This window comes from Homo sapiens, chromosome 3 (assembly GCF_000001405.40).
Source record: "Homo sapiens chromosome 3, GRCh38.p14 Primary Assembly".
NCBI classification, from domain to species: domain Eukaryota; kingdom Metazoa; phylum Chordata; class Mammalia; order Primates; family Hominidae; genus Homo; species Homo sapiens.
In genome coordinates, this window is record NC_000003.12 from 61,134,093 (window position 1) to 61,157,879 (window position 23,787).

Genomic DNA, 23,787 nt, shown 5'->3' on the forward strand with positions numbered 1-23,787 from the left:
ACACACATACACACACACACACACACACACACACACACAAAGAGGTCAAGGGAGGTAGAGCTCAAGAAAGAGAAAGTGCTTAGTGGGGCCCAATATTACCAAGGGTAGGGGGTTGGCTCATAAGCCTCAGAAAGTGGTGGGCACTGGGATTCAGGCAGTGTCTATTTCTAAAGCAAGAGATCCCAAACTCCCAAAGAAAAGCTGAAAACAGTGATGAAAACAGCAGGTGTGCACAGAAGGAAACTAAAAAACATGCAAGAAAATAATTATTCATTCAATAAGTATTTGTTGAGCTTCTACTATGGTCCAAGCATTCTATATTGGAAGTATAGCAGTAAACAGGATATAATGGTCTGTGGGCCCACAGGATTTAAGAGCAGATAGGATCAAGATCAAAGAAAAAGAGTCTGACTTCAAAAAGCTATGAGACATCTCTTCAAAGGAAGGAGAAATGATCTGGGGCTAAAGATTATATGGGCAGAGTCCTAGAAGTATCAAGAAGACAGAAAATTTTAGGGTTGTCATGAGTTGGGTTGCCCTGAAGGCAAAACCTGAGACAAGGACTTAGGTGCAGGAGTTTATGTGAGAGATGACTCCAGGAAGCAGAGATGAGGAAATAGGGTGTAAAAAGGGAAGAGCAAAAGCCAACTAAGGGTACATTATCAAGTTTACCACTTGCCAAACCAGCAAGAGGCTGGTTTGGCCAGAACCTCCAGAGAAGTACACAGCTTGCCTCCAGAACTGTTCACCTGAATCGCAAAGGCCGGAGCACTTATTCACATGTTCAAATGCCCAGTGGCTGAGAGTAGCCTCTGAGGGCATTTATTCCCACAGACGTCCAGGCTCCTCTTCAGCCCAGGCCATGCAGACTCCCAGCATAAGAGATGCCCTTGGGGAAGAAAGCAGAAAAGCAGAAAAGTAGGGGCTAGAGGTGGGAAGCTGACTTGGACAAAACTGGTCACCACAGTTGTTGCTGAAATCAGAGATAATTTCACAGAGGGACTGTGAAAATGGCCACAGGGGCATCTGCCACAAAGGTAGTGTTGGTGAGAACTAGGTGGAAATGGCTAATCATTCAGCCCAGGCTAGTTAAGGAGAAAAAAAAAGAATGCTAAGAGAAAGTGGCTTGGGAAGTTTTCTAAGGTCTAAGCTTTCTTTCAATGATTTTTGGCCTCTGCATAAAAATATGAACTTAGGGACTTACTAATAGCTCAAAGTTAAGATCATAGAGAAGGCGTTGTACTCCTCTAGGTCAAGGGCATATTAACCACTGATATTTATTGAGCACTTACTATGTGCCAGGCACTTTATAGTCATCATCAAATAAATCATCCCTGCAACTGTATATACTCATTAGTATTGTTGTTCCCATTTTATAAAGGAAGGAACTGAGGCTTAGAGAGTTTTTAAAGCTTTTAAGATCTATGAGGTAACAACCTATTTCATTTTAAGTGTATGTCAATAACCCACACTTGCATCCTTGTGTTCGAACACACACACACACACATACACACACACACACATACACACAGTAAAATCAGATATGAGGAATTTCTGGTTTTACTAGAGAATTTAGTTTATTTATCTTCCCTGTCTATTTCTTCATTACATGGATAATGAAGCACTTCTAGACTCTTTAATGAATACATTTATTTAAATTTTAAAAAATTTATACCAATTGATCAATGTGTTTTCATCAAATACGTGGACTAGAAATACAGAAAATAAAGATGTTTAGATATAGAAAACTGAGCAAAAACCAGCTACAAAATACCACCAAAAGCACAGAGCTAGTTGAAGTCAAAAAAAGCATCATAAAGGGAAAAACTAAAAGCATCTAAATACAGAACAAAAGGCAAATCTGATTGAAAACTTGTCTGCATCTTTAATTTGGAGGCTCATGATCATGCTGGAGGTAGGAGGCAAAATTTAATTTAAGGAGAATTTTGGCCAACCATCGCTATTTTCTTTAACACAAGAACAAGGAGGGAGAGGGAATGAGGTAGACAACATCCACGGAGGACCAGGTGAAGGAAAAGCAGAGAGTGATCATATCCCATATCCCCAGACACTTGGATTAGCCTCAGGGAGGCTGGTTAGGCAATGCCACCACCACCACCGTCACCACGCCCCCACCCCCCTCACCCGACCCACCCGCCACTCCCAGAATAAAGCTGGTTTGTAATTAGTTTAGGCTGTAGAGGCTTGTATCATTAAAATAATGACCACTGGGCATTTGCCACAACCAAGATAATGTTTCATAATCAAATTAACTTGGCTCAAAAACTTGATTTGGAACCTGTTTATGGTTAGTCATCAAACAGCTTTCGGGGTGCTTGAAGCATAAGATATGCAAAAAACTAGGTAAGTAGTGCATGAACACAGAATCAGAGGAAAATGTGGCTATGTTTTAGTCACAGAGTACTTACAATGGGGGTTGGAGGTAGGAGGACAGTGACTATACAAGAAAAGGATTTGAAATTGACCCTCAAAGAACTGAATATCTTTTTAAATAAAATGACAATATTAAAACCACATGCTTAAAATACGTACGGCTAAGTGCTTCAGCAGAGACTGGGATACCAGATCCTGAGTTCCTCAAAGGCAGGAGTGTCCAAGTCATTCACTTTTGCTTCACCGGAGCCTAACACATTGCCTGGAGCAGTGTTGGTACTCAGGAAAACCTTCTGTCGAATGAAGGACTATCATGCTGTTATAATAATTAGGAGAGGACAACATAGAAACATGGAAAACCTTTTTAATCTACTGGAAAGTGAAAATGATATGTCAATGGATTGCAACCATGTGCAAAAACAGGTGTGTTTGAGGACAACTAGAAGATAAGGTGGCAAAAATGAAAACACTGGTGTCAGGTGTTAGGATTCTGCATGTATTGTTGTTGTTTCTAAAACTGCATTTAATGTTGTCAGAATATAATCTTTGTAATTTCAGAATCTAGAGATGCTTCCATGTTGGAGGGAGGGAAGGAACTGGATACTCAATGAACTGATAGCTTACAGGCAAAGGTTCAAACTCCATTGCTTAGCACTGCAGACTCTTTGTGGCACAGTCCCCAAGAACTCCAGTTTTATATCATATCCCTGCTCCTTCCTTCTTCCCCATCACACTGAATAGTTTGCCTTTTCTAAAACGTATCATAGGTTTCACTCTTTTTTTTTTTTTTTTTTTTTTTGGTACACACTCTTCTCACTATTTGTAATGCCCTTGTTTCCGTCCCTTCTTCATATGGCTAAATCCTACCCATTCTTCAAAACACAACTCAAATATTTCCCCTCTGAGAAGCTGACCTGATTCCCCACACCCTATCCCAGTCTCAATTTTTGGCCACGTCTCTAAGTTTCTATAGCAACTTATGCGCTTACCTCTTTCAGAGCCCTGTCTCACTATGCTGCAATCACTGGTGTACTTGCCTTTCTCCTCTACTAGCCTGGATGCTACCTACAGATAATGTAAAGATACCTGGGGCTACAAAGGCCAGTGGATGACCCACTGTCTTTTTTACCAAACTGTGACAGTGTGGTCACTTAGTCAAGACTCTTTTGGTTGCAAGTAACAGACATCCATTGAAACTGCTTTGAGCACAAAAGGGAAATTTATTTATAAGGACATAGAGATACTTCTCAGAGCCCAAGGTTAGAAAGTGCAGACACTGAGGTCTGGATCCTGGAGCTAGAAAGCCTACAGAATCAAGGCAGCTACTCTCTTAGTCAATCAGTCTTACTCTCTCCCCATACCCACCTCTCTCCCTGCAGCCTCACACAGTCTTTTAATCTGCATATCTCCAGAGGCCTGTTGTATTCCTCTCTCTTTCTTTCTCCCTCTCTCTTGCTCCGAAAGACAGTTATACAGTGGCTACAAGTATGAGCTCATACTACCTGTGTTCATGCCTGGCTCTGCCATTAACCAACTATATGACCTTGGATAAATTACTTAACCGCTCTGTGACTCAGTTTCCTCTTCTACAAAATGGGAATAAGAAGAGGTCCCACCTCATAGGAGTATTACAAGGATTATTGAATTAATCTAAGACATGGCTTCCCACTGCTCCCAAGTTTACACATCTACCTAGTCTATCTACAAATATGTCTTAGTCCAAGACCACACTTCTGAGAAAGACAACCTGGCTGGTCCAGCTTGAGTCAGCTGTGGATCTTTGATCTACTGAGCCACAGCCTGGGAGCCAAGTTAAAAACCTGATCACCAGGGCCCATCCTTGAAGATAAAGTGACAGTTCTTAGAGAAAGGGGCCATGGGCTGAGCAGACACCAGAAACAAAAACCTGCTACAGCCACTAACTAACCATGCAGCCATGCTTGTGGGCCTGCCTAGGATTACAGCTGGGCCTTTTCACCTCATGGCCCTGAGCAAGGCTCGTATTTAAAACACACAGCTGCCTGTCAGACTGCAATGACACCTAAGGGAGCTCCACACACTGGCACTTAATAAAGGCTTAATGGTGATGATGGTGGCGCTGACAAAAATGACGGTGGCACAACAGGCCATGCTATTGCTTCCCAGCAGTTCTCTGCTGGGCCCCGTGGCTTGAAGTTGAAATCAGCACATCCTTCTAACTCGGCTAATGTGGCTTGGCTCTGGGGCCAACCCTCATCAGATCCCATCCAACTGCTAGTTAGGTAGATTTATACCCCACTAAATCCATTGTCACACAAGGGCTTCCTCCTCACTGCCAGAGTGTAAAGAACATAGACACAGCATCCAATAACCAAAGGAGGAAAGGCCTCCAAAGAAAATTAACCATTTGACTTCAAAATGTTATGCTGCTGCTCTAGAATTTCCAACCAAATGAAATCAGCTGAAGGTCCTGCATCTTTAAATAATAAAAAAATAAAGAAGAACCACAGCTGTGGGCCCTTACTAGCCCATAAATAAAGCCCCGTATGCAACTCTATATCAAACTTTTTTTTTTTTTTTTTGAGACAGAGTCTCACTCTGTCACCAAGGCTGGAGTGCAGTGGTGCGATCTCGGCTCACTGCAACCTCCGCCTCCTGGGTTCACGCCATTCTCCTGCCTCAGCCTCCTGAGTAGCTGGGACTATAGGCATGTGCCACCATGCCTGGCTAATTTTTTGTATTTTTAGTAGAGACGGGATTTCACTGTGTTAGCCAGGATGGTCTCCATCTCCTGACCTCGTGATCTGCCCGCCTCGGCCTCCTAAAGATCAAACTTATTTTTTATTGCAGTATAATCTCTTTAACAAAAAACAAGAATTGTAGACCAGTACATCTTTGCTATGAACTGAATGTCTGTGTCCCCTCAAAATTCATATGCAGAAATCCTAACCCCCAATGTGATGGAATTAGGAAGTGGGACCTTGTTTTTAGAGATGGGACATCAATTCCAGGACCAGTATCAAGATCTCACATCATTCTCTTTCACAAAAATAGTCTGCCTTTGAATTTTTAGCTCTCGGTGATAAGTAAACTACACTTATTGTAGTTTTTTGCTTGCCTCAAATCCTTTGTAGAAGTAGGCTGGAAAATAAATAAATAAATAGAATTTCCTCTATGAATTTGAATAGCAGAGTATGCATGTAATAGACGCTTCAATAAATTTTGCTGTAGCATGAAGACCAATCTCATTTTCAAATGGTGAATCTTGGCTCATGTATATGTGGTACTATAATCTTACAAGTAGGGTTTGCGGTACACATCACTTTAAGGAATGCTGGTACTTTAAGTGAATTTGAATAGCAAGAGCGGTCTAAAATCAGTCACCATCACTGAGCACAGTCATTTGAAAGCCTGAAATTCACTTTTAGAAAATTCATCAGAAAAAAAGATTCAAAAACTGGCAACGTTCACTCACAGATCAAAGACAACCTAAGTATTTAACTCATCATCATCTATGAGGATAACGACTTTTAACAGCTGTCCATGCAAGAGAAAGCAAAAAAAAAAAAAAAATAAGAAACAATGAGAGGCATTAAAGCATAAAGGTCAAGAGCACTTTGGGGGCAGCCAGCCCTAGGTCAAGAAGTCCTGACTGTGTCATTTACCAGCTCTGTAGCTTTGGGCAAGTTGCCTAAACACTCTGAACTTATTCAGTCTTCCATAAAACATTTAAATAATAGTGATACCTATCTTATTGGATTTCTATACTTAATAAACAATGAATATGATGATGACGATGATGTCTGCTTTTACTATGAGGAAAATGCATTCAGTAACAAATATAAGGAAAAAAATATAGAATAAGTAAGGAGACTCTTTAGCTATCCTTATCCACTAAGAATACCTAAGAGTTTGTAGTAACTGGCAAGGGTGTATATATAACCAGCACTGAACATATCATCCTTTTTGCTATTAGAGAGTATGCAAAAGAGGAAATATAAAGAACGGCTTTGCTTTGATCATAATCAAAGGGCGTGGGTAATCTCCTTGAGGGCAGGAACTATCTGGGTCCTATTAACCTAGCACAGACAGTATCAAGTAGCAAGCATACAGTCAAAGCACCAAATGAATGCAAGAATGCCTGGATACACCCTGAATATGACTACAATCAAAGCCCGAAGCTCTTGGTAGGTTTCACTGGCCTCTTTCCTTATATCTAGAAGAACGTCCTACCTTCCTGGTCATAGCCACCACTGAAATAATGAAAACAAAATAACAAAATAATATTTTAAACATACATAGCATACCAGTTCATTAAAAATAGACTAGGGAGTATTTTACATTGAGACACTAGGGAGCATCATTACTTTGAAATGTCACTTTCTGCTTTAATTAGTATGCTCTAATGATAAGTATATGCCATTCTTATCTAATGAAAGTCTTGAATACATACGGAATCTGGTTCACAGTCCTCGCTGGGAGGTACACGGATGTACAAAGAAGAAACAGAATGCATGTGTTGATGTCAACTAGTTTGCTTACCTTTATTAACATAATTGCCAAAGTTTCAAGTTTTACAATTTGAGGATACATATGTTCAACACACCCAGAACACTTGGCACAGTCATCTGATCACCTTTCACATTTCTCAAGACAGCCTAAGCTGTTTTAGGGAGATGTGAAGTTTCCGGTGATTTCTTTCAAGCCGACTCTCGGGGGTATCACTCAGAACAGGACCACCTGCTTGGTGGCATCTTTTTAATAAAGACAGCAATAGGTCTGCTTGCTCACAGGGAAATTTATAAGGCTGTCTTTGCTTCCTTCCACCTATTGTGGTGCTTTATCCAAGTAGAATGTACTCAGTCTTCGGAGCTTCAAAGACACTGATAATGGACTTCTTTTCAAAGAGAAGTCTTAGTCATCCGCTCCTTTCATTCAACAGTCAGAATAAGAAAGGCCCAGAGGGATACAGACAAATACCTCTGAGCTGCCTGTTGTGGCAATATCAGATAAAGAAATTCTGTAGCCCAGAGAGATATTTGATCCGTTCATTTGAAAGTCAATACTAAACATCCTTCCCAGCCACTCCACCCAAGCAATGAGAATGTGTCTCAGAAACAGGACACAGAAACTATCTCTTACGATGTAGCTTCCACTTCTTTTTTCTAGCCTGAGTGGGTTGGGTTGAGGAAGGAGAGAAAGAAAGAAATCAAGAACCAATGTTCTCTGCTTTGTGTTTCCCTGATTCAGTGAAAAACGGAGGTCATTTATAGCTTCTTCAATTGGCTGACCCAGAGGAGGCTCCAGCTTTCTCAGGATTGTAATGGCAATGACATTTCTCAAAATCAGTTACCAAGTTCGTACCAGTTCCCAGCAATAGAATACTTGGTTACTCAGGGCTTCTTTCTTTGGGAAATCTGCATCACCGGGATGACTGCAGTTCACCCAGGCCCTACAATGGGTTCTCATTTACTACTCAAGTTTCATGCAGATCATCTCATTCACACAAGCCTACAGGACCAATCTGCCTCCCAGAGCCATGGCTCTGCACCTTCACAATTGCAAAGCAATTTCTCAGGGGGAGTCAAAGCTTCACTTGCTTTTTACAGAAATGGCTCATGGAGATATTATCTTAAAATGCTTTCTCTTAAAAAAAATTTTTTTTTTATCTGAGAATTGCATGCTGTGCTGAAATAGGATGGTGGTGGGTTCTGATTATATCTTTTTTCCAATTTTGGTTTCACTCTTAAGTATAGAAAATATCAGGTTGCTCTCTCCTCTGATTCCCTTTTCTCCCAGGGACTAAAACTTTAGTCTGCTGAGTCAAAAGTAAGCTTTGGTATTAAATTCCATCTTTTATCTTTTTTCTCCCAATATCTAAGAACAATGTGATTATGCATCATTTTGTACTACAGAAGTGCTGCTGAGAACTGCATGCAAAATAAATCAAGTCAATGATGTATTTGAATGTGACTCTAATCACTGAGGTGGGAAAAAGATACCAGGGTTCTACTTTAGACTGCTAACCTGCTGTGATCACCTTACCTCCTCTTTTAAATGAGTGGGCTGGAAGTGCTCCAGCTCATGTCTAAAATTTAGTGTGCTTCGCTACCTCATGGCATAACAATAGGATGGAAAACCATGCAACCATTAAAAGTGATCATTACAAAAATGACATAGAAAAAGAAAAAATAATTGTTATAATATTTAATAAAAAATTATTCCACAAATTATCTGTACATTAACATTTTTCATTAGGACCTCTTAAGCCATGCCATTATCAAAAGGGGCAATTCAAACATATCAAGAGTATCTGTTAATATTTAAAATTAGGCTGTTAGCCTGTAATGAACATATTTTAGGGGAAAAGCTAGAAGTCTGACACATAGAAAGAAAGAAAGGGAAAATATTAACCTACAAAATCCTTTAAAAAGGTAGACTTAAAGCTTTTTTTCACTATCTTAGTGAAGATCGTTAATATGTACCTTACAGTGTATTTTAAAATTGTGTTTCTTTACCAGGGAATTTTTTTTTATCTTTAGTAAATTTCAGATTTGTTTCTTACCTGCATGGAATGTTACCCTTCCCTTACCACAATATGACAAAATTAATAATAGCCTTACAAATTGTGAAGATACAAGTTTGAGGGAAAAGATACCAACTGCTTTTTAAATTACAATAATACATGATATCACCATTTCATTTTATTTAAAAGAAATGTTTTACAACAGAAATCATCCAACCAATTAACAGGGAAAAATAAGATGGTGACATAATCCTTAGGAAGGATTACTGGGAAAGAAAAAAACAGTCATGAGTACAACTTGGTATAAGTTTCTAATGTTTATGTATAGTGTATGTTTATATGTATGTATAATACATTATAATATACATAGCATATAATATTTAGAGTGCATGCATATTATGTGTTTTGTGTTACGTGATTGTTTTTGAGAGATAGTTGCTTACACTATTGGAAAACCACTGGTCATTTGGCATTTCTAAACAGTTATGGTGCTGCAGAGGAAAGCTTTTGACCAGCCTTTGACTAGCCTTGGTCTTGTCGTTATTTAGCATTCAGATGTGTCAAGAAAATTAATACCTAAAAAAAATTTTCTGGCTGGGCACAGTGGCTCACGCCTGTAATCCCAACGCTCTGGGAGGCCGAGGCGGGTGGATCACCTGAGGTCAGGAGTTCAAGACCAGCCTCACCAATAAGGTGAAACCCCATCTCTACTAAAAATACAAAAATTAGCCGGGCATGGTGGCAGGCGCCTGTAGTCCCAACTACTCGGGAGACTGAGACAGGAGAATTGCTTGAACCCAGGAGGCAGAGGTTGCAGTGTGCTGAGATTGTGCCACTACACTCCAGATTGGGTGACAGAGCAAGACTCTGTCTAAAACAAACAAACAAACAAACAAAACTGCAGATCTGTTTTTGGAGTTTTAAAGTGAAAAATTGCATTCTTTTGTCTCTAGTAGTGTAATATTGACAGTCCAGGCAATTATTGTCATGCTAACATAATAAATGAATTACCTTTACTATTCTATTGCCAATGTGCTTTTTTATAGCTTTATTTAGATACATTTACAAACCATAAAATTCACCCATTTAAACTGTACGATTCATTCATTTTTAGTATATTCAGAGTTGTGCAACCAAGAACACAATCAATTTTATAACATTTCCTCATCCCAAAAAGAAAGCCCATGTGCATTAGCAGTCACTCCAATTTCCCCGCTACCCCTGCAGCCCTATTAATCCACTAATCTACTATGCATATGGATTTGTCTCTGTTGGAAATGTCACATAAATGGAATCATACAGTATGTGTCCTTTTGCGACTAGCTTCTTTCACTTAACATAATGTTTTCAAGGTTCATTCACATTGTAGCATGTTTCAGCACTTCATTACTAATTATGGCCAAGTAACATTCCATTATAGGAATATGCCATTTTTGTTTATCCATTCATTGTAGATAGATATTTGAACTGTTTCCACTTTTTGGCAATTATGAATAATGCTACTATGAACATTCATGTACAAGTTTTTGTGTGGATATGTTTTTAATTCTCTTGGGTACATACCTAGGAAGGTATAGAATTGCTGGGTTATATGGTAACTCTATATTTAACATTTTGAAGAACTGTCAAACTTTTTCCCCAAGTGGTTGCACCATCCTACAATCCCACCAAAACATATGAGGGTTTTAATTTCTCCTTATCCTCACCAACGCTTGTTATTGTCTTTTCTATTTTAGCCATTCTAGTGTGCATGAAGTGGTATCTCACTGTGGTTTTGGTTTGATCTAATTTGACTTCCCTAGTAATGAGTGATACTAAGCATCTCTTCGTGTGCTATTAACCATTTGTATATCTTCTTTGGGAAAATGCCTATTCAGATACTTTGCACATTTTTAAATTGTGTTATTTGTTGTTTTACAGTTGAGTTGCAGAAGTTCTTAATATAGTCTAGATACTAGTCCATCAACAGATGCAAAATTTTCTCCCATCTTTGGGTATATCTTTTTACTTTTGTGATGGTGTCATTTGACACACAAAAGTTTTAAGTTTTAACAAAGTCTAAATTATCTATTTTTTAAATTTTGTCACCTGTGCTTTTGGTATTGTATCTAAGAAACCTAACTCAAGATGACAAAGATTAATTCATATGGTTTTGCCAAGGGATTTTATACTGTTACCTTTTAAATTTAGGTCTATGATCCATATTGAGCTAATTGTTGTGTATGGTGTGAGGTACAAGTCCTAATTCATTCTTTGCATGTAGACATCCCCAGTTGTCCTAACAACATTTATTGAAAAGACTAATATTTCTCCTATTGAATTGTCTTGGTTCTTTAGTTAAAAATCAATTGACCATAAATGCGAGGGTTTATGTCTATTCTATTGATCTACCTTTTTTGTTAGTACCACACAGCCTTAATTGCTATAGCTTTGTAGTAAGTTTTGAAACTAGTAAGTGTGAGTCTTCAAACTTCTTTCTTCTTTTTCAAGATTGTTTTGGCTATTCTGGATATTTGCAGTTCCACATGCAATTTAGGATCAGCTTGTCACTTTCTGGGGAAAAAAATAAAAAAACAGCTGGGATTTTTAAAGGGATTCCATTAAATACATAGATCATTTTGGCCAGTATTGCAATCTTAAAAATGTTAAGTTTTCTGATCCAATAACATGGCATATCTTTCCATTTATTTATTCTTTAATATCTTTCAACTACTTTCTAGTTTTCACATCTTATACTTCTGTTAAGTTTATTCTTAGATATTTTATTTTTTGGCTGCTATTATAAATAAGATTATTTTCTTAATCTCTTTTCCAGACTGTTCATTGCTAGTATATAGAAATAAGATTTATTTTTGTATATTGATCTTGTATCTTGCCACATTGCTGAACTCGTTTAGTAGTTCCAATAGTTTTTTAGTGAATTTGCCAGTGCACTTTTAACTTAAACTTTTAAATTATTTTGTCCCCATCATACTTATAAACATCAGTGTATGCTACTACTGTACCACAATTATCCACAATATTGAGCAATTAAATCCTGTCTGCCCTAAGCTCTCATTCAGTCCCTTCAATTAACCCTTCAGGCTGATGATCACTCTCCACAGGAAAGGAGAAAGCACGACATAAAACAAATTACTTCTTTCTTAATCCTTTCTATTTCTAGTGGTTAGTAAAACCATACAGAGTAGTAAAATGAAACATATGCTGAGCTACTGAAACTCTTCTGCCTAGCATTACCTTGCTAAAATGAAATCAAGCAAAATGGAACCAAAAGTGGATTTTGACATTTCATATTTTGCTGAATACTGTTAGGGCTCTGGCAATCACTGTCTCTTACATACAAATTAACAGCCTACCATCTGTCAAGTGTTGGGATAATCACAGGGTTTAGTGCACAATATGGTTATTAGAATATGACCTGACAAAAAGGAAAAGAACACAACCTAATTTGGACTATAAAATCTATGATCTCACTTGCAAACGACAGTTTGACAAGCTATTATTCTGCATTTTGGCTTCTACAGTAAAAGCAGTTTTATGCATACGTAATTCTGTTATACAGGCAACAGCCCATAGAAGATTGCTTTAAACTACAGAATCTGCTTGGTCATACAATATTTTTTAACTAATTCTTAGACAAATATTTGCACCATGAATAAGTAGGAATGTAATGATCTGAGCCTTCACATTTCCAAGTGAAGCACCAATCATTAGGCAAAAAATGTCTTTGTGATATTGCTGCCAGCAGTTCCATAGAATTCCTCAGGGTATATGCAAAGAAACTACTGTAGGAACTTATTAAAACTATTCACATGGACATACATCAAAGTCAAAAAGTTGACAGTTTTGAAAAGTGTAATATATGAAACACTTTGGTGTGGAATTTACTTCATCCCCAACAGTGACATCTGCTAATGAGCATCATTAATATTGCCCACTTTTATTTATCCAAATGCCTCATGGGTGATATCTTTATGTACATTCCTCTGTAGCACCTTTTGTTTCCACCCAGTGGAAATAAATCCCATACTGACAGCTGCCTCTAATAAAGATGCTTCCAACAAAACTCTTCTGGTTACAGAGAGAACACAGAGTACCAAGTTCTTTTTGTTGTTGTTTTCTACCTCTCAAAACAGTGCAGAAATGAGTATTGTTCCTGAAGGTTATTTAAGGGTACACCCAGTGTGTCTAAAATACATGCCTAAGACAGAAATGTATTAATTAAGTCTCAAGGCAAAACGTTCTGTTGAGGCGACAAAACAAAACAGATTTTTAATATTAGCAGTTATATTACCTAGGGAGCTTAGGCGAGATAATAACTATATAATACATTAGGCAACTCACACTGCAAATTATGTTGCTTTGTTTTAGACTACACGTTTTTCCATTATTTTCATACTTGTTTCCTTTGACGGTAGAAAAAAATGATGTATTTTTCTGTCATGTTGGCTCACTATAAGGTGAGTCAGAGTGCCAAGGTTCTTCTGCAAGGAATCTTGGGATCCAATTTTAATATGCTGCAATATGAATTTTAAGAACAGTGTGTGATGAATTGTCAGGCTGCATGATATCCCCAAATTTCCCAGTATTGAGACCTTCATGGCTATTCCCCGAAGATAACAAAAAAAATTCGATCAAGATTTATAGAAGACTTATAAATGTATGAAAATATAAAAAAATAATAGTTACATCCATGGGTTTAAAATGATTCCCCTACAGTGGCAACCCTGTATGAAAATACAATATGAGATCAGGGAGCAGAAAAATAAATGAAGTAAAGATTTAGGGAGAATCATGGCAACTTATTCATTTACAGGAAAGCCAGTTCCTTTTTCACCCTTGGAAAAAACTACAAACAAATTCCAAGTTCTTTCTAGCTACAATTGACATTATCATTTGGCCAGTATATTCATGATAAATGTTCTAATGTGAAGGCGATCCATCATAAATGTAATTTCAAAAATGAACTTCTTATTTTAACTTCAGAAAGAATTATTCTAGGATTCAAAAGTCCAGTTAAATACATATAGAAAGAAGGATAGAAGGGAGAAAAGTTTAAAAAAAAAAACAAAAAACTATGCCCAGACAAAAGACTGGAAGAAAGTTATTTATGTGATGAGACTATCGATGATTTATTTTCTTTTAATTTTTATTAATGTTCGAAACAAACACACATCATCTTTTAATGAAAAAGAAATTCTATATGAATTATTTTCTCTCTATGGTATATTTAGAGGGATAACTTATATATAGTAAAATACACAAATCTTAAGTATATGGCTCCATGGCATTTCATATGTATAAACCCAAGAATCTTCCACCTAAAACAAAGTATGCAGTTATTTCCAGAAAATTACCTCCTGATCCTTTCTAGCAATAGTCTCCTAGCTCCCTATTTTTCTGGCTTCTAGTATCATTGATTCCTTTTGTCAGCTATTGAATTTTACACAAATGGAAGCATACAGTATGCATTCTTTTGTTTGTGGCTTCTTTTGGCAACATAATGCTTTCAAGATGCATCCATATTGTATATATTTGTTGTTTGTTCCTTTTTGTTGGTGAGTACCACCTCATTGTATGACTATGTCACAATTTGTTTACAATGATGTCTAAGGATAGACATTTGGATTTTCTCAAGTGCTTGGCTATTATAAATAAAACTTCCATGAACATTCTTGTATATGTCTTTTTCATGAGCATATGCAATAATTTCTCTTGAATTAATACAAGGGAAAATATACGACATACAGTTTTTAACTTTAAGGCAAGGTCTAATATTTCCTTTTATGGTTATTTTATTTTAACAGTATATTTAAAAATTCATAACTTATTGGTTTCAATCTAAGGAAAATGTAATGAACAAAATTCAGAGCATAAATTTGTAAAATCTCATACTCCTAGATGAAGAGTTCAAAAGAAGAGAAAGAAGTTATATGCCCCAGTGGGGACTGCTTCTTCTGGATCTTCATGCCACAATGGAAAGATTCTCAAAGGCATAAAGTTTTCCATAGAAACACTCTCAATCTGTTAGTTTTAACAATTAAAACTTACGTTTAACTGAAAGTATAGTAGAGAAAGAAAACTAATTGATGAAACTAAAAGTAAACCTCTCAAATAATTAAGAGGCAAATATTTCAGGGCTGAAAGGTCATCACCAGTCACAGAAAACATTCAGAGAAGTGAGAAACCATTGAAATTGGACCAGTGGATGGCAGAGTAATAGATGGTATTTCCATGACATCTACCCCATGCCAGGGGAAAAGAAGAGAAGGGTTTACTTTGGGTACAATGACAAGGACAACCTTCTGATATGTTGCTAAGGATCATGCCTAGGGTGACTATAAATAATTTATTATCCAAAATGAGACACTTCTGAGACTGAAGCAGGGTAATAAAATTAAATAAAAGTAATAAATAAAAATTAATAAGTTTAATAAATAAAAATTGTTTTATTTATATTATTAAAAATAATTTAATTTTTTAAATATCCACCTGTTGACTGAAAAATTGGTTTTATTTTACTGGTTGACAGTTGAAATACAGTCCTATTCTAAAATGATTTCCCAAAGTAAAATTATTTTTATTTTTAAAAAATGCTTAACTGGGCCAGGTGCCATGACTCACACCTGTAATCCCATCATTTTGGGAGGCACAGATGGGAGGATGGCTTGAGCCCAGGAGTTTGAGACCAGCCTCAGCAACATAGTGAGATCCAGTCTCTACAAAAAATACAAAAATATTAGCCATATGTGGTGGTGCGCACCTGTAGCCTCAGCTACTCGGGAGGCTGATGGGGGAGGATTGCTTGAGCCCAGGAGTTAGAGGCTGCAATGGGCCATGATTGTGCCACTGCACTGCAGCCTGAGACCCTATCTCAAAAAAATGTATATATAAAAAAATGCTAAACTGGACAAGATGCAGAGAAAACTGGTAAAAACTAGGGCTATCCTGAGCAAACTCAGATGCATGGGTACACTAGTCAAGTGTCACCTCCAACCCTCTCCAGTTAATTTACCAAGGTACCTATAAATGGAGCCTAAGGCACTGCCCCTGTCCTTTTCTTCATTCAACAAGTAATTGTTGAAAATCTTCCATATGTTTGGCACTGTCCCAGGCAGAGAGATATAATGATAAATGAGTCCAACTTTCCTTGGACTCATGGAACCTTCAAACTGTCAGAGAAGACAGCCAAAGAACAAGTTACTAAAAGTGTGCTAAATGTGAAGGAAGATACAGAGCCCACTGAGAGGCTTTTACATGGTAGTGATCAATGGGGTTTGTATTGTCCCCTAGAGAGATTTTTTTTTGGAAATGTGAGGAGCGGTGGGGAGCTCTCTATGTTCCTTCTTTTTTAAGAGATGGAGTCTCCCTATATTGCCCAGGCTGGTCTGGTCTCCACCTCCTCTTGAGCTCAAGTGATCCTCCCACCTCAGCCTCCCAAAGTGCTAGGATTACAGGTGTGAGCCACCATGCCCAGCCATTTAACTCATATTTTCTGAGGGGCAACAAGGCCACCAAATGTTCTTATGTAGGACAGGCCCACATGATGAAAAATGATCCTGTATCCCTCATAACTTTCAAATGTTCCACCAGACATTCACTTAGGTAAAGAAAAAAAATATTATTGTCTATTTTACATAATAGCTTAAAGTATCTTTTGCACATTTTAATTTTCACTGAATTTTTCAGAAATGCAACTAGCATTTAAACTGAAGGAATAATGTATTTTGTTTTGTTCAACACTTTACCAGTTGTTCACTATTTCAGAAAATCCCACCACCGACAGCAATGGGGCTTTTGGTACCCAGTCTACCAATATAACACAACTGTATTAGTTTGCATTCTTATCTGTCAAATGCAAATACGTAAGAGAGAAATAGGCCTAGCACCAAATATTATTAAATTGGCCATGGGACATGAAAGTCAAGGATACCACCAAATTGCATTCATGGAAAGCATTTTTTTTATATTTCATTTTACTGCCACAGTACATACCTTTAAAAAAAATCTGTAGCACAATGATGAGAAATCTACACTGTGAAAATTACTGATTAAAATTATTTACTTACTTTGGATTTGCTTCTTGTTTCTCAGTCTTACAGTGAAACTGTCCCTAGAGGTCTCCCACACAACTTCTTTATGGCTTCTTATATTACTGCTTCTTTTTCCAATCCATTCCCTATTCCCTGTGGCCTACCGAAGTGCTTTTTAAGAACTAGAGACCAAATGTATGCATCAACATAAGACATGATTTCAAGATGAGAGGTATTCTTCCTGTGATTCTTCAACACCACTCAGTCCCTTTTCATAATATAGGGAATGACTCTGCAGCTACCCTTTTAAGTAAGTCCCACTCATTTCCAGGAATGGCATACTTGCCTATGTTCTCTACCTCAAAACTGCATTATTTATCTTAGCATGTTAGCTCTACTTCAACTAAGGTTATTTCCCTCTTTTTCTCATCATGTATATTACTATTAATATGTATCCAAAGGTTAGCTTTTATTCTAGTATCCCTCAAACCTCTCATCTTTCATTTCTTGTACTCATTTCACAGAATGGCTTGTGATATTCTTTTCTTTTCTTTTTTTTTTTTTTTTGAGATGGAGTCTCACTCTGCCACCCAGGCTGGAGTGCAGTGACGTGATCTTGGCTCATTGCAACCTCTCCCTCCTGGGTTCAAGTGATTCTCCTGCTTTAGCCATAGCTGGGATTACAGGCACATGCGGCCAAGCTTGGCTGATTTTTGTATTTTCAGTAGAGACGGGTTTTCACCATGTTGGCCAGGCTGGTCTCGAGCTCCTGAGCTCAACTGTGAGGAGAAAATAAAACCCGCCCACCTAGGCCTCCCAAAGTACTGGGATTATAGGCATAAACCACCACTCTCGGCCTGATATTCTTTTCTTAAATCCAATTTCACTCATATCAAGTAGATATAAGCATTTGATTAATTCATTATGTCTTCAAGTAGAGTTGTGCCCAAGCCTTTACATTGGAATACTTAGCTTATTGTAAGCCACTTCCCTTTTCTTTCTTCTTTATATTGTAGTTAACCATCATACCATTTTTTTAAGTATATGGGTGGGTAGGTAATTTCTATAAAGTTCAAAAGAGGGCAGTTAATCTGATAGGATTAAACAGTTGACTGGAATCTAATTTGGGGCAGAGACTCTTTAGGCTGAAACTTAACGAATGGGTAAGAGTTAGCTAAGTGAAGGGAAAGTAGATCAGGGAGATAGAAAAAGAGGCCAAACCCTTGAAGGCAGAAGAATCCTCAGAGATAACAGAGCAGAGAGCTTCAGCTAGAGAACTGGTTGCCAAAAAGTGGTAAGTGAACCCCTGGAAGCACACAGCTGAACTTTTGCTGATAAAAAGGCTAACTTTTTAATTTTAATAGATTCAAGTGTTTTGAAATACATATTAGAAGAACAGTAGTTTCCATTTAAGGTGGCAAAACAATTTCCTTGTACAATTAACTTAAATATTAGCAAAAATAAGCTTTTTTTAATAGTAAGTGTTGGTACAAATAGGACATGAATATGGTAAATACATGGCTTCTGAATGACTGAAGTTGGGGTGCTCTGACCTATTAGCATGGAGGTTGGAGAAAGAGGTAGAGCTAGAGATGAGATGAGAAAGCAAGGGCTTGGTCAGGCAAAGTCCTACAAACCACTGTAATTATTCAGGTCTTTGTCTTAAAAGCAATGAAAAGCCACGAAAGGACTTCAAACAGAGGAATGAGAAGATCATAGCTGTGTTTTATAAGATCAGTATGGCATCTAATGAGAAATGGATTGGAGGTAGGAAAGATGGCTGTGGGTAGACGAGTTAGCCAACTTTTCCAAATGTTTAATTCAAAGACAATGGTGGGGCTGGGTGCGGTGGCTCACACCTGTAATCCCAGCACTTTGGGAGGCTGAGATGGGAGGATCACAAGATCAGGAGATCGAGACCATCCTGGCTAACACGGTGAAATCCCATCTCTACTAAAAATACAAAAAATCAGCCGGGCGTGGTGACACGCACCTGTAGTCTCAACTACTCAGGAGGCTGAGGCAGGTGAATTGCTTGAACCTGGGAGGCGGAGGCTGCAGTGAGCCAAGATCACGCTACTGTACTCCAGCCTGGGTGCCAGAGCAAGACTCCATCTCAAAAAAAAAAAAAAAAAAAGACAATAGTGGTCCAAGTTCAAGTGATAGCAGCAGAGATGAAGAAAGGAAGAGGAAATTGAGAGATAACATCTCCTGAAATCCAAGTTGCCATAAATTGAAAAATAGTTGGCTTAATGATAGCTTGGCTGATAACATGAAGAAATAGATGCTAAGTGAGCATATCAATTGTAAGATATTGCTTCAGAAACATTAAAATATGGAAAATCCATGCTTCTTTAAATAGAGGAAATACAATTTTTAAAGGGTAGAAAAGAGTGTGTAGACACTAAACAAATGACTGATGATAGTGAACCCCCAGTTGGAAAAAGTCAAAATTGCCAGATTTCTTTGGCCTCAAACTGCTAAACATCTAATGTCTTGGGCTTTATTCACTTTTTGTCTTTGAGTGACATGACAGATCATTTTGGTGATATAGATGGAGCTCAAATTGACAAGGTTACTGGAGAAAGTAAAATCAAAAATCCTTTCTCAGGTAAAGATATACCTGAGTAAGGAATGCTGACCTTCTAATATCAGAGGCCTAAAACTTGTAAGTGGAAGTTTGCTTACAGAAGACAATGTTCACAGCATTCTGAAAGTCATGGCCAGGTTGTTGCTGTTATTATGAAAATGGTGATTTATAGCCAATGTCCATAGCCTAGGCCTCGAGGTATGTTTACAATTTACAGTAAGAGGGGCCCAGCCTTAAATTATTGTTAGCAAGTCTTGATATTATTTTGTAAAAAATGAAATATGTAAACACATACATATCACCTTTTAATTTTATTTCTTAGGGGACAAGGGAAAAAACACAGTTTGCAACTATGTATATCTCCTCACATCAAAGTTTAACTCCTCAAGATGAATACATTCTGTGCCTCTGCTCCCAACTTGAAGAAATTTCAACTGCTCTATTCTTTCCACAACTGCCCATTGTCTTAAAAAACCCCAAATCGCTGGCATTTTAAAAATTAAATACAGTATATTTTCTAGAAAGAAAAAATAATTACCAGGCTCGCACGTGGCAGATTCCTCTAGCCATGCAAGCCTGGATATTCATGAAAGCCATTTCTCACTTGGCTCAGGGAAACCTCCCAGAATGATAGGACCATTTACACTAAATGAACCGAACATATTACTGGAGTAACAATTGACATTAAGTATATTACAGCTGCCAGGGGCAGTATCAGGAAGAATCCCTGGATGACAGAAAACATGATAATGTAGAAGGAAGAACCTGCAGAATCAGAAAGGGGGGAAAAACCCCTCATAAAACAATTTTAAAAATATATAAAGAGGAAATCATATTTAAAGGAAAAACAGAGAAATTTTGTTATTTTTTTTCCTTCTGCCTGCAGTAGCCTTCTGGTATTAGACCTGCAATGCATTTGCTACCCCCTAAAATATTCTCAACACTAACAAGATCAGAGGAAATGATTTATTCCACCCCCTCTCCTGCTACTTCTGAACGGCAGCGCGTGTCCTTGGGGACATGGGATTTCTGCATTGCTTTCGGCCATCTGATATTGCAGCTCTGCAGCCTTCCCTGGAATGAGCCAGAAAAATCAAAATAATTACATTAATGCTGGGAATCAAAGTTTATTGACTCTCCCTTGAGGTGGAAAACCAAAATGCTGGTTACAAAAGTTGCCAGCTTATTTAATGATACCACTGCCTCCTCCCTGTTCTTGTCAAAACAGCTTTTGAAAGCATTTTCAAATAAAGCCCTCAGATGCGCTCCAATTCAATAGCTTATCTATTCCCTTTTAAATAAAAGCTAGTTCACATCATCTCACCCCCTCAAAGGGAGGACCCGACAGGCCCTCTTCCCCTGCCAAGGCACTGCCAAAGGCAATACTCCCAGGCAATATCCCTGCCATCATTTCCGCTCTCTTCAGGAAGGTTCTGCCTCATTGAATATTCTTCCAAGCCAGTAAGAGAATCTCATGCCTCCCCAAGGCAGCAATCTACATTTATTATAACATTCATGGCTGCTAATGAAACTTGGAGCAGCTGGTTTCTTTCACTTTCCAACAATTCTTTGGATATTCAAAGTCCCCTCATAAGAGAGGGGAACTTATGAGCACACCCATTTCATGGATGAGCCCGCAGACACAGAGATTCAATGTGGTGCTGACCTTTGTAACTTTCACAGGACTTTGCTACAGCCCTAAAAAAACAGATGCTAAATAATAATTGATTGAATTAAACTGAAGGAGGTAGATTAATTTTTTTAATTAAACTGAATCAAATAGAACAGAAATAAACAAACTCTAGCCCTCTCCATGCCTAGTCAACACCTACTATTCTTTCTTGTTTCTTTTTTTTCCTTTTTATTATAAAAGTTTTCAAATAAAATGAGAGACCAGTATAATGAAGCTCCAAGTACCTATCCACCCAGGTTGAACAATGATCAAGATTTTCCCACATTTGCTTCATTCATCTTCTCCTTTTTTTCTTCTTCGTTGAAATATTTTAAAGCAAGACTAAGACAGCATGCTACTTCATTCCTACTTTTGTCAGTGATTATGCTGTGCAGAAAAGAGTTACCATAGAAGGCCTGAGGTTGCTATTTTTAGAATTTAAAAAAGTTTGCAGGTAGGTAGGTAATATCTACAGACTTCACTTTATGATGATAAAAGAGACATAAGAGAAATAGACCTGCTTGCAAAGTTGACTCTTGGCTGGCATCTGGGAACATGGATTTGGGAAGGTTGCCATCATTCCCAGAACTGATAAGAGTGGCTCACTGTGCCCGAACTGTTTGTTCAAATAATGAAATGCTAAATGCCTGCTTTCCTTCTGGGAGTCTAAAATGTTGGTATGTGCTAGCCAGAGAGTATCTACGTGACCAGCCCCCAATAACAGCCTTGGGTGCTGATGCCCTAACAAGCTTCTCTGTTGGACAACATTTCACATGTGTTGTCACAACTCATTGCTGAAGGAATTAGGCATGTCCTATGTGACTCCACTCAAAGAGGTCTCTCAGAACCTTGCATCAAGTTTCCTCTGAAGTTCACCCCATACGCTTTTTCCCTTTGCTGATTTTGCTTTTTATCCTGCTGTAATAAATCATGGCTGCAAGTACAACTATATGTTGAGTCCTGTGAGTATTCCTAGCAAATCATTGAACCTGGTAATGGTCTTGGAACCCCTAACTCATATACCTACCATTTTTTAAGTCTACTTAAACCTCACTTTTTCACAGAAACATTGGTGACCTTGGGGAGATGCCAAACTAAGGGAGGCCCCGGTTATCCATTCTCACAGCACCCTGAACTTCCTCTTCATAACATTTATCGAAACGGTCCCTAAATAATGTTGAAATCATTTGTTTGTGGTCTATCTCTCCACCAAGAACCCAAAGTCCCTGAGACAGGAATTTTGTCTGTTTGGTTTGCCATGTATACCTAGCATGGTACACATGGTATACATTTAAAATTTTAAATAGATTCAAGAAAATACCATACCCCTCCTCCAAGTTTAAGAGGTAAAGTTTATATAATTTCCCTTGCATTACACTCATTCATTCACCAAATACCACTCACTTATGGTATAATCTATACTGTGTCCCAGTTCAGTTTAATATCCACTTCATTAACATCTTTCTGTAATTAGCAACATCATGCCAATGCTTCACCTTTTAGGTGAGACAAAGCATGACTCTGCAAGGGGGCTTTCCTCTTGACACTGGTGACTAATTCATCTATTTGCATCACATTATAGGACCCTCTTTCCACCTTACAATCCTCTAGAGATTCTCCTGCAAATACAGACTCTTGAGATGATTCTTACATGCCTACTAAAGTTTGGAAAACCACTGTTTTGGGTCACTCAAAAAATGAAAAGGCAGCTATAATTAAAGAAAACCTCATGGATATGATTCTTCACCTGAATTTTTAAAAAGATAAATAAACCACAGACTAAACATAAATTTTGCTAAGCATATTCAACTACTGAAAATACCATACGACAACAGAGAGAATAAACATATATTCCTTTAAAGAAAAGAAGTGAGTTGTCCATATGTTGTAAGGGATACATCTATATATATATACAGATTGTCTTGCACATTTAATGTGTGCGCAGAAATGGGTCAAGTAGATTATTTTTTTCATGGTGGATGAAAGTAAGATGTGATGAGACACACTTGAATGGGGATTGGCAAGATTTTTAAAGATTATAAGCTTTGCGTTTTCATATAATCTACCATCCTGCAAATTCACTTCTGAGTATATATTAATACCCAAGAGAAACTTGAGCACATATGTCAAACTCCATCAGTGAAAGGCCACCAGGAACACCCTGGTAGTCAAAGTTAAGTGGTTCACCTTACTGTAGCAAAGGAGAAAGTACCCCAGAGGAACCTTGGGAGCATCTTAGTAAAGGGGAATTATCAGTGGCTTCCTCTAGGGTTTGGGGAATTGAAACAAACTGAAGTTTGCCCAGAAGCAGCAGTCACTCTGAGAAAGACAGTGATAGTCAGAAGAAAGGGGTGTTTAGTCATTTGTAGGGTCACAGAATGGCTTTGTTTATGCCTTGTTCTGAGTATTGTTTATGTTCTAGTTGCCAGTAGAGCCATGTTTTACTTTCTCACATATGTACCAGGAAATGTGTATAAGAACATTCATAGCAGCACCATTCATAGAAGAAAATTTAAAAATTTAACTAAATGGCTATTGATAGGAGTACATATAAAACTTAAAAAGGACAGGGAATGATGAACATGAGGTTAGT

The 23,787-nt window shown here is 37.8% G+C and overlaps 1 protein-coding gene across 8 annotated transcripts in view, besides 2 other annotated features; it reads right to left on the reverse strand.

Moving 5' to 3' along the window:
* The window catches only part of FHIT (fragile histidine triad diadenosine triphosphatase), a 1,504,176-nt gene that overhangs the window by 1,386,816 nt on the left and 93,573 nt on the right, over nt 1-23,787 (reverse strand). The window lies entirely within an intron of this gene.
* Nucleotides 7,052-7,574: an enhancer, noted in NCBI's record as "OCT4-NANOG-H3K27ac hESC enhancer chr3:61126817-61127339 (GRCh37/hg19 assembly coordinates)". NCBI's record gives its function as "activates a minimal SCP1, AML or CMV promoter by ChIP-STARR-seq in naive H9 embryonic stem cells {active_cell/tissue: H9 hESC(naive)}" and the evidence as "EXISTENCE:reporter gene assay evidence [ECO:0000049][PMID:30033119]".
* Nucleotides 7,575-8,098: an enhancer, noted in NCBI's record as "OCT4-NANOG-H3K27ac hESC enhancer chr3:61127340-61127863 (GRCh37/hg19 assembly coordinates)". NCBI's record gives its function as "activates a minimal SCP1, AML or CMV promoter by ChIP-STARR-seq in naive H9 embryonic stem cells {active_cell/tissue: H9 hESC(naive)}" and the evidence as "EXISTENCE:reporter gene assay evidence [ECO:0000049][PMID:30033119]".